The sequence below is a fragment of the Homo sapiens genome, chromosome X, assembly GCF_000001405.40.
Source record: "Homo sapiens chromosome X, GRCh38.p14 Primary Assembly".
Classification (NCBI taxonomy): domain Eukaryota; kingdom Metazoa; phylum Chordata; class Mammalia; order Primates; family Hominidae; genus Homo; species Homo sapiens.
In genome coordinates, this window is record NC_000023.11 from 72,326,075 (window position 1) to 72,345,948 (window position 19,874).

The 19,874-nt window shown below is 43.3% G+C and overlaps 1 protein-coding gene across 16 annotated transcripts in view; it reads right to left on the reverse strand.

Moving 5' to 3' along the window:
• Window positions 3,442-19,874, reverse strand: part of HDAC8 (histone deacetylase 8) — a 243,328-nt gene continuing 226,895 nt past the window's right edge. For 8 of the 16 annotated variants that reach the window (NR_051952.2, NR_199813.1, NR_199814.1 and 5 more), the window contains one exon: window positions 3,442-4,002. Coding sequence is in view for 11 of the 16 variants with exons in the window: in XM_047442255.1 (XP_047298211.1) it covers window positions 3,980-4,002 (23 nt within the window). In the remaining 5 variants the exon portion in view is untranslated. Of the gene's footprint in view, window positions 4,003-4,616; window positions 4,695-4,741; window positions 4,803-19,874 lie in introns of all 16 variants that reach the window. The other 8 variants (NR_199815.1, XM_017029644.3, NM_001410728.1 and 5 more) reach the window with 2 other exon arrangements.

Here is a 19,874-nt window from a genome sequence, read left to right on the forward strand (position 1 = left end):
GGGATTACAAGCATGCGCCACCAAGTCTGGCTAATTTTTTTGTATTTTTAGTAAAGACGGGGTTTTGCCATGTTGGCCAGGTTGGTCTCGAAGTCCTGACCTCAGGTGAATGGCCAACCTCTGCCTCCCAAAGTGTTGGGATTACAGGCATGAGCCGCCACACCCAGCCATATTATTATTATTATTTGAGACAGGGTCTTGCTCTGTTGCCCAGGCTGGAGTGCAGTGGTGCAATCATGGCTCACTGCTGCCTCGACCTCCAGGGCTCAAGGCATCCTCCTGCCTCAGCCTCCTGAGTAGTTGGTACTACAGGCATGTGCCACCACGCCTAGCTCATTTTTGTATTTTTAGTAGAGATGGGGTTTTGCCATGTTGGCCAGGCTGGTATGGAACTCCTGGGCTCAAGCAATCCTCCCACCTCGGCTTCTCAAAGTGTTGGGATTACTGATGTGAGCCTCCGGGCCCGGCCCTAGGGTATTTAATTGAGTCAGACAACTGAATGAGGAGAAGGAGCCAGTCTAGGGAAGATTGGGGCATTCCAAGCAGGACTAGCGTGTGCATAGATCATGAGGTGAGGGGCCCCTGTCTTAGACAGCTCTATTTATGTCTGTCTTTACCTCTACGTCTGTAGATCTCATCCTTTTTGTAATCACAAAACTCCTTTGAGTGTTGAGACTCTGATAATAGCTATGGCTCTGTGCCCCAGAAAAATGTACATATGTACAGTCACACAAATTTGCATACTATTTCCCTAATTCCTGAAGCCAGGGAACCCCAGGAAGTTTCCTTACCCACAGCGTGTTCACATTTAGGGCAAGAACAGTGTCTACTACTAATATATAACATGCGCTCTACTACATGCTTTTCTGCATTATCTCTTTGGTCCCTCGCAACCACCCCCATGAGGTAGGTACAGGTAAGTGTCGCCATTTGATAGACAATAAGACTAAGGCTCAGAGAGAGGGAGTTACTTGGCCAAGGTCACACAGCTAGTAAGTGAAGGGAGAGGCTTAAACTCAGGCAGTCTGAGGCTGAAGTGTGTTATGTTGCATGCCAAGGCACTACCGGTCAGCTTTGGGCCCAGCACTGAGCAGGAGGTTTGGGGATCTGCCCCTGGCAAATGCAGAGAAGGAGGAGCTGCAGGAGCTTTCTGTATAGGGGCTTAGAGATGTCAAAACACACTTGTTTACGTGGTTGTTTTCTTTCATTCTTCTGCTTTTCTCTTCCTCCTTCTTTTCCTTCTCCTCTTCCTCTTTTTCCTTTTTTTTTTGTTGAATGACAATATTTGATTTTCTTATAAAGAAGTCTTTCTGCCTTAGAGTCTTTTAAATATATAATTGGAAATATACTACTGCTGTCTCTGTGACAGCTAACATTGAATGCAGCAGAGGCAGATCCACCCTCCCCAAAGGAAAACTGGTGGGAATTTTCCATTGACTTAAAAACAAATGTTATGTATTAACTTTTTTGGGACCAGGTAATACATTCACATGGTTCAAAAATCAAAAGGTACAAAAAGGAACTGAGTGCAGGTCGCCCTCACTCTGCCACTTGCCATCTGGTTCCCTTGCCCAGAGGCAACTGAGGTGTCCCAGTTCCTTGTGTATTTTCCCAAAGGTGTTTTATGCACATATATGCATATCCAATATCGATATTCCTTTTTAAGTGGTTATTTTCTTACCCCTTGAGTTGGAGACATAGTCTACACTTCTTTCTTGGTCTCTTTGGCCCTTGTGAGTGCCCTGGAGACAGAGGGGGCTGGTGGGTTTCCTATAAGCACTGGGTTTTCCTCAGAGGTGAGCCTTCCCTGGACCATTTCCAAGGCAGGCCCTCCTGTCCAGAATACACGCTTTTCAAAGTGCTTCCATCTTTGGTAATTCATCAACCACTCACAATAGCCCATGAGGTGCAAGAATTATTCACCCCATTTTATGGGTATGGAAACAGACCCAGAAAGGTCAAGCAACTTGCTGAAAAGCACACAAACGAATGAATGCTACTGTGTGGTGAGGGCCCAGAAGCAGCATGTGGCTTGGTCCAGCTTGGGCTTTGGAAGCAGTAAGAAAGTTGTTTACTTCAAAGTCACAGTTTAAAAATATTCTAGTGGCACTAGTGTGGGACAGTGGAAAAAGTAAGGGAATTTGCAGTTCCAGCCGGGTTTTTCTTCCTGGCTCTGCCACTTAAAAAGGGGCATGTTACTTCATCATTCTTAGCCTCAATTTTCTAATCTATAGAGTGGGGATGATAATACCCACTAGCAGGGTGGATAGTGACGTACAAGTGAAAATGATCTGTAAAATGGGGCATATGCCAATGCTTGCTTTACCATTGTTGTTATAGTTATTGTGGCTGGTCCCTTGCAGACACAAGGGGTGGGTGGTGGCGGGGTCGGCAGCAATTTCCTAAAGGTAAGACAGGCAGGCTTATGGTGGGGACAAATTTGCCCCACCCTCAAGCCAACTGATCTAAAAAGCATCCCCCTCCCCCGCATCCCCCTCCCCGCCATCGCCCCCACTGATCGGTCTTCCAGGCAATTAGAACAGCCCCAGGGCCTGAGCACAAAGTCTTCCTCAGTGGGTGTCTTGAACTGACTTTGATCTGTAACTACCCCCTAACTCCCCGCGGATCAATTGTTTCTTTTTTTTTTTTGGGGTTTATGTATTTATTTTTTTCTATTATTAAAGTAAAATGTGCCCACTACAGAAAATTTGGAAAATACTGAAAAGTAGAAATGTGCTCCCACAGCTCTGAGCTCATGTTGATAACAGAGCTGGAAACATGTTGGGATCTGCTTCTTTTTCTCCTCCCTTGCCTTGTCTGGGAATTCCTAGACAGCCAGGATGGATGGGGCTGTGTGCTTGTCTGCCGTCCCGGTCCCAGTAGTTAGTTGAAGGAGCTTTGTAAATATTTGGTAAATAAAATTACAATATCATGACATTTAGTTGTCTCTTCCTCATCTCTCCCATTATCTCCCATCCCCATTTTTCCATGTTGCCAACTCCCCAGAGGTTGCAGTAACACCACACATTACAACTTCCTCCCCTTTTCATTATGTGCCAATTGTCTACTGGGAAGCATCCTTTCTATCCATGGAAGTGCTCCTCTTGGATCTGACATGCCAACACACCTTTTCCATCCCTAAATCACTCCCTGGACAGGGACAGCTCCTCCCCAGGGTGCCAATAAGCCCCTCTCCATGACTGCAGTGCCAGTATTCCTACCCCACCATGGACAGCCCCAGTGCAACACAGAGCTTGGCCTTCTGTCCCAAGAACTTGGGCTAGGGACACACTAGTTCCCCAGTGAGGTCAGACTCTCAAGCCGGGCCAGAGTAGAGATTGGAAGGAACAGGGTTATTCTTGACACTTCAGCGAGAAGAAAAGTTCAGAACTGTGTGTGCTGTCAGTGGCGCTTTACAATGAAGACAACGGGACAAAGAGGTAGGTTTTCAAAGATTTTATTAAAAAAACCAAAGATATATAACACTAAAACAACACCAGCGGACTTCTCCCCACCTCCCAGTCTGCTGATCAGTACCCTCTCTCCCAGGGCTCCACCTGGATGGTCCTGAGGCCCAAACCCTGCCTGTCAGCTGCCTCCTGCCCTACAAACTGGTGACTGCTCTCATCCAGCTTCTGATCTGTTTCATTTAAGATGATTAAAATACTCCCCTCCCCAATTCGCTTAAAAATAATTTTCAAAGATTAAAAATTTCATTTGTGTGTGTGTGTTTTTTTAAATAAGAACTTTAAATGTGGGATATCTCCTTCTTCCCCTAGGTCCAGTTGAGGACTCTGGGGTGCCTGCCTCTTCACCCCAGGAAGCCAGCTGCCACTTGATGCCCCTTGGAAATTTTCAGGAAGTAATTTCTTTCAAATTTTCCCTGCAGTCACAAATTCCACAAACTGCTTGCATAAACACGCTGTCTTCATTATAGGCACCACTCCTCAGCTCTGGAAACCTGATCTCTTTCTGTCAACTAGACCACATGCTTCAGATTCCCTGCAAACAGGGGAGAAAACAAAATTCAAAGTCAGGTAATGTATGTGAATTATACCCCAATAGAGCTATTTTTTAAAAAGCACTTATATTTTGGGGCTTATTCTCTGCTGCTCTTGGGAACTCTGTGACCTCGCCATAAGGAACAAGACCAGAATAGCTTGCTGGATGATGAGAAACAAATGGCCCAGAGATCCCTGTCACCCAGGCAACCACCAGCCAATTACTGGACATGTGATCGAGGCCTTTGACAGCCAGCTGACTGCAGATGCTGGGTGTATCCAGCCAGAACCAGAAGAGCCACCCAGCTGAACTCAGCTCAATTGCCAATCTATAGAGTCATGAGCTAAACAAATGGTTGTTTTAAGTCTCTCTCTCTCTCTCGTAACACTTTTCAGAGTTCATTCTTTACTAACTGCATCAAATCTCATGCTCCCCACCCCCAACTTTTCTTCCTTCCCTTAGCAAGGCACAACCCTCCTAGCATTTTCTCTTGTGAGTACCTGTGAAACACGGATTGGGGGCTTTCCTCTGATCTCAGGCCTAAGAGTCTTTGAGGGAAAAGTGATCATTTGAAATCCTACCGGACTGGGCTCTAGGAATGAAAAGTTGCTCACTTTGTCCCTCCGTAGTCTTTGCCTTGCCACACTTCCCCAAGTAGAAACACTGGGCTCCAAACCCTACTGGCCACTTCTCTGAAACAGAAACAATGCTCCCTGAGGGCAGGGCCTGGCTGTCTTACTTTTGGTTGATTTCCAAAGTCTTGCACAGTGCCTCACTCATAGTAGGTGCTCAGTAAATGGCTGAATGAATGGACGAATGAAAGGAAGGAAGGAAAGAAGAAACAAGTCAGAAACAAACTACTTGCCTATCTTTTTTTTTTTTTTTTTTTTTTTGAGATGGAGTTTTGCTCTTGTTGCCCAGGCTGTCGTACAATGGCGCGGTCTCGGCTCACTGCAATCTCCCGGGTTCAAGCAATTCTCCTGCCTCAGCCTCCCGAGTAACTATGACTACAGGTGTGTGCCACCATGCCCAGCTAATTTTTGTATTTTTAGTAGAGATGGGGTTTCACCATGCTGGCCAGGATGGTCTCGATCTCTTGATCTCGTGATCCACCCGACTCGGCCTCCCAAAGTGCTGGGATTACAGGTATGCCCGGCCTTGCCTATCTACTTTTATTTTAAATTTTATTCTGCAGTAAAATTGACATTTGTGCATGTGCAGATCTGATTTTAAACATATGTATAGATTCATGACAGAGAGGAGTTCCATAACCCCTCAAATCTCCTTGTGCTATCCTTTTGCAATCACATCTTCCTTTCTCCCCCACACCTAGCAAGCACTGATCTGTTCTCCATCACTGTAGTGTTGTCTTTTTGAGAATGCCATATAAATGCAATCAAACAGTCTGTAACCTTTTAAGATAGGCTATTTTATTTTTTTACTCAGCATAATGCCTTTGAGGTTCATGCAGATTTGTGCATGTATCAATAGAAGTTCATTCCTTTTTTGTACTGAGCTCTTACTTTTAAAATAATTATAGAATAACAGGAAGCTGCAAAAAAAAAATAGTGCAGAGAGGTTCTACACACCCTTCCCCAGGTTTCCCCACATGTTAACATCTTACATAATTACTGTTCAATATCCAAGTCAGGAAATTGACATTGGTACAATTCACAGATCTTATTAATATGTCACTAGTTTTACAAGCACTCATTTGTGTGTGTATAAGTGTATAATTCTAGGCCATTTAATCGCAAGTGTAGATTCATGTAACCTCAACCACAATCAAGATGCGAAACTATTTTATCACCACAAAGATTTCCCTCCTCTACCTCCTTTACAGTCATTCCCATCCCTCCTCCTTCACCATCCCTAAGTCCCAACAACCATTCATCTGTTATCCTTCTCTAAAATTTGGTCATTTTGAGAATGTTATAGAAATGGAACCATACAGTATATAAACTTTTGAGATAGATAGGCTTTTTTCACTCAGCATACTGCTCTTAAGATCCATCCAAGTTGTGGTGTGTATCAAGTTTGTTGCTTCTTTTTGCTGAGTAGTACTCCACAGTATGGATGTAGCACAATCTGTTTAACTACTTATCTGCTGAAGGACACCTGAGTCATTTCCAGTTTTTGGCTATAGAATCAAGCCACTATGAACATTCACATACAGGTTTTTGTGTGAACATAGTTTTCATTTTTCTGGGACAAATGCTCAACAGAATAATTGCTGGGAGGTATGGTAGTAGCATGTTTAGCTTTATAAGAAATTGCCAAACTGTTTTCCAGACTGGTGGTACCATTTTACTTTCCCTCCAGCAATGTTTGAGTCATCTGGTTTCTCAGCATTCTTGCTGGCATCTGGTGTTGGTTTTTATTTTGGCCATTCTGATAGATGTATAGTGATATCACATTGTGATCTCAATTTGCATTTTCCCAATGGCTAATGATGTTGAACATCTTTTCATGTGCTCATTTGCTGACTGTATATCCTTTTCATGTCTTGTCTTTTGCCTACTTCCTAATTGTTTTTTTTTTTTTCTGTTGAGTTTGGAAAGTTCTTTATATATATTTTTTATTTTTATTTTTTGAGACACAGTCTCACTCTGTCACCCAGGCTGGAGTGCAGTGGTGCGATCTCGGCTCACTGCAAACTCCGCCTCCTGGGTTCAAGCGATTCTCCTACCTCAGCCTCCCTAGTAGCTGGGATTACAGGCATGTGCCACCATGCTCGACTAATTTTTGTATTTTTAGTAGAGAGGGGATCTCACCATGTTGGCCAAGCTGGTCTCAAACTCCTGACCTCAAATAATCCACCCGCCTCAGCCTCCCAAAGTGCTGGGATTACAGGTGTGAGCCACTGCACCCAGCCCTTTATATATTTTAGATACAAATCTGTTGTGGGATATATGATTTGCAAATATCTTATCTCAGTATGTAACTTATCTTTTCATTCCCTTAACAGGGTCTTTTGTAAAGCAAAAGTTGATTTTGATGAGCTCCAATTCCTTATCAATTTTTTTTCTTTTTTTGGATCATGCTTTTGGTATTTCAACCCCCTAACCTCAAAAAAATCTCTGGATAATCTTTGATCCTTAATTTCTTAGTTCACGCCTTCTCCACATCTTATGAGTTGTGAAGCCTAACCTCAAGATGTCTCTCCAATCTATCCCCTTCTTTCTGTTCCACTGTCTCTGCTTTAGTCACATCTCTTGTTACTCAGGTCACTGCGACAACCTCTTATCTGGTCCTCCTGCTTCTAGAGCTATTCCCTGCACAATTGCTAGCTGTGATCACATTCCTTCTCTGCTCAAAAAGACTTCAGCAGGCTGGGCGTGGTGGCTCATGCCTGTAATCCCAGCGCTCTGGGAGGCTGAGGTGGATGCATCACCTGAGGTCAGGAGTTTGAGACCAGCCTGACCAACATGGTGAAACCTCGTCTCTACTAAAAATACAAAAAAATTAGCCAGGTGTGGTGGTGGGCGCCTGTAACCCCAGCTACTGGGGAGGCTGAGGCAGGAGAATCGCTTGAACCTGGGAGGTGGAGGTTGTAGTGAGCCGAGATGGTGCCATTGCACTCCAGCCTGGGTGACAGAGCGAGACACCATTTCAAAAAAAAAAAAAAAAAAAAGACTTTAGCAGTTCCCGACCTACCACCTATGAATGAAGTCCAACTCCTTAGCGTAAATGGGCCCCATCCATGCTTTCCTGTTTCCACACCTTCGCTTGTGTTGTTGCCTCAGCTGAGGACAACCTACAGGGGACACTGGTGTGAAGTGAGAGTCCTTCCATCTGTAAGTATAGCCAGAGCTAGGGGAATGACTGAATGCAAGGATGAACAAAATTCCATGTCAAAGCATTCCAACAAGACATGTTCGCAGGGAGGAAAGGTGGGTGCTGTACTCCTCTGCTGCTCTGCCTCACTCTCCAGTTAAATTTGGAGGCAATTAAGAAAAACAACAGAAATAATTTTCACCAAGAAGTTGATGATGAGCAATGTTGAATTGGGGTAACAATAAAAATGCAAGCTTAAATAATGCCCATTGTTTTCCCCTCACATCTAGCTTTTCCAGCAGTGGGTGGCAGCCTGAGAAAATTCTAAAGGCTAGCACAGGCTGGGGCCTAGGGAGACAAGAAGTTCAGACCACAGCGGGCAGACTCAACTGCCTAGAGAGGCCAAGAATATACTGTTTGTAAAGCAGGCTGGGGGCAAGACACAAGGGGCCCTCTTGATCCTTTTTTCATTTTCTTACTTTGAATCATGACATAAGTGTAAGAAATATTTCCCTTTTTTCTTAACTCTGCCACAGAAGAAAACAAAACCAAGACAGTGTAAATGGAAACTCACACTTGGCCTAGAGTAAGAGATACAAAAGGGACTGGTGGGGCTTGTGGCAAAGAGGAAGGTACCTGCTGGCAAAAGTGGGCAGCTGCTGCTCAGCTCCAGCCACTCACCACTGTGCAGTCCTGTCGGCCCCATGGGACCGAGTCCTTCCATTTTCCAAGAGAAGTCCAAATTTCACATTTTTATGCAGTTTCCACTGTGTTAAATTTGGGCAAATGACTGACATTTTAAAAGAATATCATATGAGGCATTAAGATGAGTGGCCAAACAGAACAATTTTGGAGGCGAGATGTAGCTTATGGACTGCCAGTTTGTGATTTCTGGTTATCTCTGAAACAGTCTTGATTTATACCTAAGGCACCCCATTTCACTCTCAAATATCCTGGTTTGGACAATAAACTATACTGTTACTCTAGCTCTGATGTACAAGAAGGAGTACTGAACTGGGACTCAGGGGGCCTGGGTTCTACTGAACCACTGGTTGACTCATTTGTTTATCAATTTATTCAATAAACATTTATGGCGTGTCTACTCTGTGCCAGGTATTTTGTTAGGTGTTGATGAACAATCTCTTTAGTCTTTCTTTTTTAAATTAATATATTTTACTTTTAGAACAGTTTTAAGTTTATAGAAAAACTGAAGAGAAAGTACAGAGAGCTCTCATATATTTCCTTCCCCTTCCCCTACAGGCAGTTTCCCCTATTATTAACATCTTGCATTAGTGTGATACATTTATTATAGTTAGTGAATGGATACTGATACATTATCATTAACTTAAGTCCACTGTTTACGTTAAGATTCGCTTTTGGTCTTGCACAGTTCTATGAGTTTTGAAAAGTATATAATGTTATGTATCCACCATTAGAGTATCATGCAGGAATAGTTTCACTGCCCTCAAAATCACCTGTGTTCCATGGACTCATCCCTCCCTTCCTTTCACTGAAGCCCGGCAACCATCATCTTTTTACAGTCATATGGTTAGAATCAAACAGTATGTAACCTTTTTGGACTGGCTTCTTTCAAGATGCATTTAAGTTTCCTCCATGTCTTTTTGTGGTTTGATAGCTCATTTTTTCTTAGTGCTGAATAATAGTCCATTGTCTGGATGTACAACGGGTTTATCCATTCACCTATTGCAAGACATCTTGGTTGCTTCCAAGTTTTGGCAATTCTGAATAAAGCTGCTATAAACATTTTTGTGCAGGGCTGGGCACAGTGGCTCATGCCTGTAATCCCAGTGTTTTGGGAGGCTGAGGCGGGAGGATCACTTGAGGCCAGGAGTTCAAGACTAGCCTGGGCAAAATAGTGAGAAACTGTCTCTACAAAATAAAAAAATTAGCTGAGTGTGATGGCACACCCCTGTAGTCCAAGCTACTCAAGAGGCTGGAGCAAGAGGATTGCTTGAACCCAGGAGGTCAAGGCTGCAGTGAGCTATGATTGTGCCACTGCACTCTGGCCTGGGTGACAGAGTGAAACACTGTCTCTAAAAAAAAAAAAAAAAATTAACAACAACAACAACAACAACAACAACCCAAACAAACAACAAAAAAGACCCCCAAACATTCATGTGCAGGTTTTCGTGTGGACATGAGTTTTTAATTCATTTGGGTAATTACTAAGGAGTGTGATTGCTAGATCATGTGGTAAGAATATGTTTATTTTTGTAAGAAAATACCAAAATGTCTTCCCAAGTGACTGTACCATATTGCATTCCTACCAGCAATGAATGAGAGTTCCTGTAGTTCTACATCCTTAACAGCATTTGGTGTTGTCACTGCCTTGGATTTTAGCCATTCTAATAGATATGTAATGGTATCTCATTTTAATTTGCAATTCCTTAGTGACCATGATATTGGGCATCTTTTCACATATAGTCTCTGACTTAAGATGTTTCAACTTTATGATGGTACAAAAGTAATAATGCATTCAGTACACTCCTCAACTTGAGATGGGGTGACATCTAGATAATCCCATCATAAGTTGAAGATACTGTAAGTTGAAAACATACTTTCCACTTATATTTTCAACTTACAATGGATTTATTGGGACATAACCCCACTGCAATAGGCAGAGGAGCATCTGCACTTACTTGCTGTCTGTATATCTTCTTTGGTGAGGTGCCTATTAATATCTTTTGTCCATTTTTATTTTTTTAAAATATTTTTAAATTTTTTGTAGAGATGGGGTCTTGCTATGCTGCCCAAGCTGGTTTTGAACTCCTGGCCTCAAGCAATCCTCCCTCCTAAGCCTCTCAAAGTTCTGGGATTACAGGCAGGAGCCACCACACCCCCAAAATGGGCTCGCTTTTGCCCATTTTAATTTTTTTATTTAATTTTTTTTTTTGAGACAGGGTCTCGCTCTGTTGCCCAGGCTGGAATGTAGTAGTGTGATCACAGCTCACTTCAGTCTTGACTTCTTGGGCTCAAGTGATCCTCCCACCTCAGCCTCCTGAGCAGCTGGGACTACAGGCACATGCTACCATGTCTGGCTAATTTTTAAATTTTTTGTGGAGACAGGGTTTCACCATGTTGCCCAGGCTGTTCTCAAACTCCTGGACTCAATCGATCTGCCCACCTTGGCCTCCCAAAGTGCTGAGATTACAGGAGTGAGCTACTGCACTCAGCCTCTTTTGCCCACTTAAAAATTGAGTGTTTTCTTATTGTTGAGTTTTAAGAGTTCTTTGTATATTTTGGATTGAACTCCTTTACTGGATATGAATTTTGCAAATATTTCTCCCAGTCTGTGGTTTGTCTTTTTATTCTCTTAATCTTTTTAATGTGGAGCAGTGCGGTCCAATAGAACTTTCTTGGATGATGTGACCATCCTACAGCTATGCTGCTCAATATGGTAGCCACTAGTCACATGTGGCTATTGAGCACTTGAAATATGTCTAGTGCAAGTGAGGAACAGAATTTTATATTTTGTTTAATTTTAATGAACTTAGCCACATGTGGCTAGTGGTGAGACTATAGTGGACAGAGCAGACATAGAACAGTCCTCTTGTGCTTTTTTTTTCCTTCATGACGTTGACTAGGGGTCATCCTTACTCCTCCTTTGTTTACAACCTTCCTTTTCAATCTATTAGCAAGTCCTGTGGATTCTACCTCCAAAATAGATTCCAAATCTACCTCTTTTTTTCCCTCCTTCACTGCTGTAACTGTACCCCAAACTATTCTTACCCTTTATGTGGATGATTCTAATAGCCTCAAGACTGGTCTCCTTGCTTCCTTCCTTGTCTCCTACAACCCTGTTCTCTATATAGCAGCCAGAGTATTTTGTTAATACTTAGGACAGACCACATCACTCCTATGCTCAAATCCCTCTAACAGCCTCCAATCACAATAAAATCTAAGTTACTCACCTGCAGGGGCCGGTCCCTTGCCTCCTGTCTCCTACCACCACCCTCCTTGCTCACTTGAGTCTTCTTTGTGTGGCTTGAGCACAGAAATCATTTTTCCCTCTTAGGGCTTCTCCTGTCTTTGAACTTGCTCTTCCTTCTTCCTGGAATGCTCTGTCCTGGCTATCCCCATTTCCAACTCTTCTCATAACCTTTGTCACCTTGAGTCGACGAGTCTCAACCCCAAAGTCACTTCTGAGAGACCTTAGGACCACCCAAGCTAAGAAGCCACCCCCTCAGTCACTCCTTTTCTGTCACATGATTCTGTTTTATTTTCTTCAATCCACTTAGCGCACAGAAAACATCTTGTGTGTTTGTTTCTTTATTTGCTCGCTGTTGGCTTCCTCTCACCAGCTCTATGAGGGCAGGGACCTTGTCTGCTGTCTTGGTCATTACTCTACTGTTAGCACCCTCAGTAGTGCCTGACACCTAGTAGGTGCTCAGTACCTATTCACTGAAGGAAAAGACATCTGTAGACTACAGGGCAGTTGATCAAGCACTTTCCCATTAAATTCCCAGAGGCTTAAAGCTTGGTCATTGCTCTTAAGGACCTTATAAGTGTGGGTAAGGTGAGCAAACACATGCTAACAAAAGGAGAACCAGGCTAGGATACATAAGTTCTGAACGCAATCAGCATCACAGCAGTTTGGAGGGATGCTGGTGTGATCTCAGGAACCCTTGGAGGTTGGGTGGCACCACAAAGGAACAGAGAAGTGAATTTAGGACTGTTGAAAAATGTTTCCAAAACTTCTGTCATATGAGTACCTCTTTTAGGAATGTTTTTATATCTACTTAACAGCTGTATTAATAGTCACCTTGATATATATATATATATTTATAAATATATATAAATATATATATACAAATATATATATATATATTTATATATATATAATTTTTTTATTTTTTTATTTTTTGGGTTATTAACTCACTTTTAAACCTTCAGGCCAAGCCCAGTGGCTCACGCCTGTAATCCCAGCACTTTGGGAGTCTGAGGCATGAGGATCCCTTGAGCCCAGGAGTTCGAGACCAGCCTGGGGAAAATAGGGAGTCCCTGTCTCTATTAATTTTTAAAAAGAAATTTTAAAAAATAAGAAAAAAACTTTAATACCTATTTTGGCCTCATCTATCATAAGCAGCAATAATAATAATAATAGACAACTTGCTTATTACATTTTAAAGCATACGTTAAAATAAATATGACTATTAAAATTAAAAATGTCTTTGTGTCACCTCAGATTGTCTCTCATATAGAGGAACATGAGGCACATCTTGAGAAAAATCATTGTAGGGATTACCCTTGGCCAGCCGGTGTCCAGGCTGTCCTGCTGCTGGCAGGCTCTGGTATCTGAGAATCTTAGATGGTATGCACCCCCGCTCTCATCCAGCTATCCAGCTCCCTCAGCCCAATCTGGTCCATTTTTCTGTCCATTTATTGCCTAAGCCTTTGCTGATGTCTACAATGGCCTAGGCCCTGTGCTGGGTGCTGGGGTCACAGAGGGGATCAAGACAGTTCTTGCCGTGAAGGAGTTCTTGGCCTCGTGAGGAAGACATATATGGAGGCAAACACATTATAGTCCACAGCAGCAAGGTGATACAATTCTAGTATGTACAGAGTGCTGTGGGCAGAAAAAGAGGGCATAAGAGGCTTCACAGAGTAGGTGGTTTATTGAAGGGCAAAGGAGGGAAGAATGTTCCAGGCAGCAGGAACAGAGCAGGATATATAAAGCCAACTGCAAAGTTTTTGAGGTCAGGATACAGGATGAAGTTCAGGGAGGGGAGCAATGCAGCTGGAGAGGTGGCCAGAGGCCATATCAAGGCCAGGGCCTTATCTGAGAGGCCATGGGGAGCCTCTGAGAGATTGTCAGGGAGCAGGGGATCTTGTGGGATCCAGGGCTAGAGCAAGATTTCCAGCTGCTGCCCCATCATGGCCAGGTTCAAGGACCTCATTTTCTACCTGGGAACAATTGCAGTACCAAGGGTTCCTATGAAGCCTTGGGCATGTGATGATATGGATGGCTGGTTTAATTTTTAGCTCTTAATTGTCAACTGCATTGCTTGCCTTGGAATGTCGATCCCTCCTGTCATCAGAGAGCCTTTAATTGACAATTAAGTAAAACTGCCAATCACCACTTGTCTGCCTCTGACCTGAATTAGAACCTGAGGTTGTGGATTAATCCCACCAGGCTTCTGACATTTACAGGACACCAGCACTTAGAGGATATTACCCTGATGGTTAGGGTGCTCTCGTCTTAGTTCTCAAGGCACTACTGCAGTCTCAAACAGAACCGAAGCAATTTCTAAAATAGCCTATGATTCATTTTTTCTCCCCTCCTGTGCCTAAATCTGCTGGCTTCATGTGGAAGGATGGGCGCAAGTAACTGTAGAGGTGACATCACAGGAGTGGGCTGCTTGCCTGCCAGCCAGCTTGTGGAGCTGGGCCCCGGCAGTTGTCTATCTGCTGGGCTGGGCAATGCCTCCCAGCCGTTTTGGAGACAGAGCTCCGAGGTTCTTTGGTCGATGTGCCTTCTCCACATTTCTTTTTCTCAGAGAAAAATTCTGGGCTGGGAAATCCAGGATAATGGGAATAGCAGTGGTAGGAGGAATAATACAGCCTTACATCTGTATAATGCTTTAGAGTTTGAAAGCTATTTGCTCTATTTTGCCCCACCCAAACACCAGTGGGAAATGGAAGCTGGGATTTTTGACTTGAACTGGAGACCAACTCTCGCTCTCTTGCACAAAAAACCTAAATGCTAATATCCCCTATTCACCTCAAGGCATATCATGATTAGGCCTTGGACGCCACCAGAAGGTCAGAGAGGCTCCCTTCAGCTTCTAGGTGCTTCCTGGAAGATAAATTCTCCAGGACAAATTGCCTGGCAGGCACAATCTATTAACTATGCCATCCTGACTGAGCCAACAAGTAATGCCAGTCTCAGCACTGCCAACTCCTTCTGCACACCCTGGTTTACAGTCCCAATGGTCCCAAAGACCTTTACTGGAGCCAAAGAAACAGTCGCTAACTGTGGAGCCCTGAAGGTAGGGTGTGTCACAAACATCTAGAAGTGCCAACAGCTGCCAGAGAGCTCAAGGGCCTGTGAAAGGAAAACCCACAATTCAAGTCACATTAGCTATCACTGTGGATCCTGAAGTGAAGGGTCACTGAGCCCAGCCGTGAACAGCTGAAGAGTGGGGTAGAGGGATTCTTTTCTTGGAGGAGCCATAAAAATGGTTCTGTGGTGGTCTCATGATTGCTCTGTGATCATTCAGCATGTGAGCCCAGCATGGCTTGGTGTCCCCAGTTCCTTATTGCCATAGTGAACATGAGAAGTCTCCTCTGGCCCAGCTCCCCTCCTGTGATCTTCCCCAGGATCATGGTCACCAGGCTGGAAGCCAAAAGAGTGGTATACTCTTGACTGGCCTTCCTGGTTTTAGATTAGATTTCAGTGTCACTAGTGTGCACGTATGTGTCAGGGGATGAGGGTGGGGGTTGGAAGCAGTGAGCCATAGATGCTCAGCAGTATTGTGAGAGCAGCAGGTGCTCCTGCTATTGTTGCTGCCATAGCTGCCACCACCACCACTATCACCAAATGAATCCAGGATGACCTTGTGTAAGACCACAGTTGCTGGTCAGTGCCATGAAAATGTCATCTATGTAAACCAAGATGCTTGTACTTGGGTAGTTCTCTGTCAGAAATTTTGGCGGGGTATAAAAGTGACCCTTTTGAAAGTTGAATCTGTAAGTCTATATGTGGAAAGTGACTGTCAGAACAGAACATCACCACCTCCAAAGCAGACAGACCTCCCAGAACTTGTTTTCCAGCTCATGGCAGAAATGTGCACCTATGAAAGTAGATTAAGAATCACCACCTCAGCCTGTTTTAGAGATGTGAATAAAAATCTTGGCTTGGGACTGCCGTCTCTCTGGTTGACTGATTTTTCAATTGATTTGTATTTATTAGCTAATGAAATTAAAGTTGTAAAAATGATAACAGAAACACAATAAATCTCTCCCACAACTGGCTGTTTCTATGTCACTATGGTGCATTCCTCACTTTGATTACTTCAAAGTCTATTATTTTGTTTTCAATTATTCTGTTTTTCTGGCACTGGAGAAAATCAATTTGTTTTATTTTCTCTTATTCATGCACTCAATTATGCTCTTCGGGCACATTTAATCACTTTGATGTTTCCATTTTATGGCCCGTCTCTAGGCACTTCAGCTGCATTGCTGCCAATGGGCAAGCAGGACTAATTTGCATGTCACAATAGACTTGAAATTCTAACTCAATTTAGAAATCTTTGTGAAATCTCCCTCCAAAATGTGCTTGGAGCTGCAAAGAGGCAGAAGAATGTTGGCAAACCAGGAGCCTGTAAAGATACTTTCCTTTCTCAAAAGACTGTGAGCTCCTTCATGACCCGACCATGGCTTGGGGAAGTCCCTGTCCAGGTACAGCAGAAAACCATGGGATGGGAGGTCTGCAGACCCTCCTCTGGAACTCTGTGGTGAGAATCCTGCAGCAGCTGCCCCTCAGTGGCAAGGCCAAGGAGGCTAGGCCCACTTACCCTGGCAGAAAATGACCCTTAGCACTGCTGGATTTGGTGGCTGTGCTCAAGACAGCACCTGAATCTCAGTTGTCTAAAGAGCCTCCAGGTAGACTGACAAAGTTGTCAACAGTTAGGCATTCCAAAACCCTGAGTGGTTTACCTTATTTTTCCTAATAATTTCCAACCTTCCTTCTACCCCTTGATCATTTTAGAACTAGAAGCTGGAGGGAAATGAGCAATACAATCGCTTTGGGCATGTACTTCGGGCACACAAGAAAAAAATGCTTAATTAAACATATTAGAGGCCTCCAACTACTCTTTGAATATTATTGGTTTGTTTATGCAACAATCAGCAGCTCTGCCAGGCAGAAGGAAAATTCCTTATTTCCTCTTCTAAGCTTTGAGTATGATCCTCAGCGTCTCAGTTGGAATCCTATCTTCCGCACTTACCTGCTGTGTGACTTTGTACAGGCTAATTAACTCCCCTAGGCCTCAGTTCCTACATCTATTAAATGGGGCTAATAATATTATATACATTAGAGACTGATCTGCTTCCTAAAGTTCTATACTGTCAAGAGTTTGGCCATATTCACATACCGCCTATGTGGACTTTTCTTATATAGACATAAAAAAACCCCAGCCTCATCCTAAGTAATATCTTTGAAACCAAAGAGTTTGATCTGATAATTATATTTCTTTTTAATACACATTGAAACATATATCTATATTGAACATACTAAATCCATTTCTCTTGGGGTCTTTGATATTGCTTGTCTCTTCATCTAGAATGTACTTCACTACCATTTTTTTTTTTTAAGACAGGGTCTCACTCTATTGCCCAAGCTGGAGTGCAGTAGTGCAATCATGGCTCACGGCAGCCTTGACCTCCTGGGCTCAATTGATCCTCACATCTCAGCCTCCCAAGTAGTTGGGACTACAGGTATATGTCATCACACCCAGCTCAGTTTTACATTTTTTTTGGTAGAGACAGGGTTTTGCCATGTTGCCCAGGCTGGTCTCCAACTCCTGGGCTCAAGTGATCTGCCTGTCTCGGCCTCTCAAAATGCTGGGATTACAGGCGTGAGCTACCATGCCCGGCCGAACTCAAATTTTGTAAATCTCCTTCCCTCATTTCATTAATCTCTGTTCCCAAATGTCACCTCCTCCGAGAGGTCTTTACTGAATAGCATCCCTCAGAATTTATCAGTAAACAACATTAAATTTTTATTTAGTTGTTTATTGTCTATCTTCCACACTAGAATGTAATCTCCATGATGGGCAAGGACTTTATTTGACCTATTTCCTTTATTATTTTAAGAGACAGGGTCTCACTATGTTGTCCAGGCTGGTCTCAAACTCCTGGGCTCAAGCGATCCTCCTTCCTCAGCTTCCTAAGTATTTGGAACTATCAGCCCACATCACTGTGCCTGGCTTATCTATTCTATTTAATTATGTATTGCCAGTGCCCAGAATAGTGCCTGGCACATATTAACACTAAATGGTTACTGTTAGGCTTCCCTTCCATTCCACCAGGGTGGTGTCAAAGAAGGCAGAGTAGAAAGTCAGGACTTTCCATCTTTGCTTAATGGCAAGGAGGCCCACCCACTGCTATGTCAGTAGAGGCCAAATGCGGAGCAATAAAAAGGTGCCGCTCCCATTTTTGGCCAGAGTGGTATCAGTGGAGGTCTATTGGAGAGCCTGAATTCTACTCCACCCAGCAATACTGAGGTGCCCTTCTTCTCCCCAGGGTGTCAATGGTGGCTGAGTAGGGAACCTAGACTTTTACTCCCCACCTGGAGGTAATAGGGTAGTGCCCTCTGCCCCTGCCAGCATGTATTACTTTTTTTTTTCCTGACTACACGTTCATGGTAGAAATTTTGAAAAATACAGAAACAGCATAAAAAAATAAAAATCATCTATAATTCTAATTCTAGATAACTACTGTTAAGGTATATTACTTTGGTAAAGTATCATCAAAGATGACTACTGTTAGCACTTAATTCTTGTGTTTTTCTGTGCATATCCCCTCTCCCAAAACACACACTAAATATAGTTACAAAATTGAGACTATATGGTAGTAAGCCACTTTGTATCCTGTTCATATTCACTTAACATTGTAATCATGAGCATATTCTCATGTCATCAAATTATCTTTTAAAATTTGCTTTTTAACTGGCTGCAACAAATTTTTTCATGTAGATACACTGTATGGAATTCATAAGACACTTCAAATTCAGTACATCAAAAGAGAACACATCAAGTATATGTTTCAGTAAAGCTATGTTCCCTCCCCCAAGAGCTTCCCATTTCAGTCGGTATCCAGGCTGGAAATCTCAGAGTCACCTTTACTTCTTCCTTTCTCCCTGATCCTCTATAAATGGCCTACCTCCCAGTGCTGGTGATGATACTCTCTTCATAACAGCTCTCAGTCATTTCTTCTATTTTACCACCACTATTCTAGTCCAGGACCTTGCAGTCTCAGTCTTGCACTACCATCACCATCCATCCCAAATATCACTGTATCATGTGGTGCTCTAATTTCAGAACCTAGAATGACTTCCACTTTACTGTGGATATGAACTAGTCAGCCTGAAATTCAAGGGAGCCTGCAATCGGCCCCCCATCCCCACCCTTCTGAATTTCCCTCACTTACAAGTGCATCCCTACTCTGATCTATTCAAATCCTCCCTAACCTAGATTTCTCAACTATTTATCAGGAGGAGGGATCATGTCTTAAACACCTCGTATATCTCCCAATGGCACCAACATGAGGGGGGTGGGGTTCAAAAATATATGTGTTGATTGCTTGAGCTGGGCTTTAAAGTGGAGACACAATCATATCTCTTAAAATTAAACTGCTTCTGAAGCTCACTTTGGGAACCTGAGCAGGGGGAGAGGGTTTACTAGGGGAAAGGTTTACTAGCGACTAGAAAAAAGCAGAGGAGATGGATGTTGAGTAGGTGTCACAGGGCAATGCTGCCACGGAGAAGAGGGCCACCAGGTCTGGGTTCAAATCTTGAGTTTACCACTTACTTCTTGCGTGATTAGGGCATGTTACACAATGTCTTCGGGTGCCAGTCTCCTACCTCATAAGGAAATTGTGAGGTTAAAAGAGATCATGTATGTGAAGTACCCAGCACAGGGTGTTGTGCTGTACCCTGTCAATATCAGTAGTTCCCACTTCACAGATTTAGGTAGAAATTCCAAGTCTTCATGAGTAATATGCCAAGGGTTTTCATGGTTTCTTAAAAGTTGCTGTCTAAGTTACTGTAACTTTGGGGAGCAGTCTCCATTTTTATTTTAGGATTAAAAAAAATTTTTTTTTGTAGATAGGGTCTGGCTCTGTCACCTAGGCTGGAGTGCAGTGGCACAGTCACAGCTCACTGCAGCCTCAACCTCCCTGGGGTTAAGCAATCCTCCCACCTCAGCTTCCAATGTAGCTGGTACTACAGGTATATACAACCACATCCGGCTAATTTTTGTATTTTTTTTGTAGAGATGGGGTTTCACCATGTTGTCCAGGCTGGTCTTGAACTCCTCGGCTCAAGCAATCCACCTGCCTCAGTCTCCCAAAGT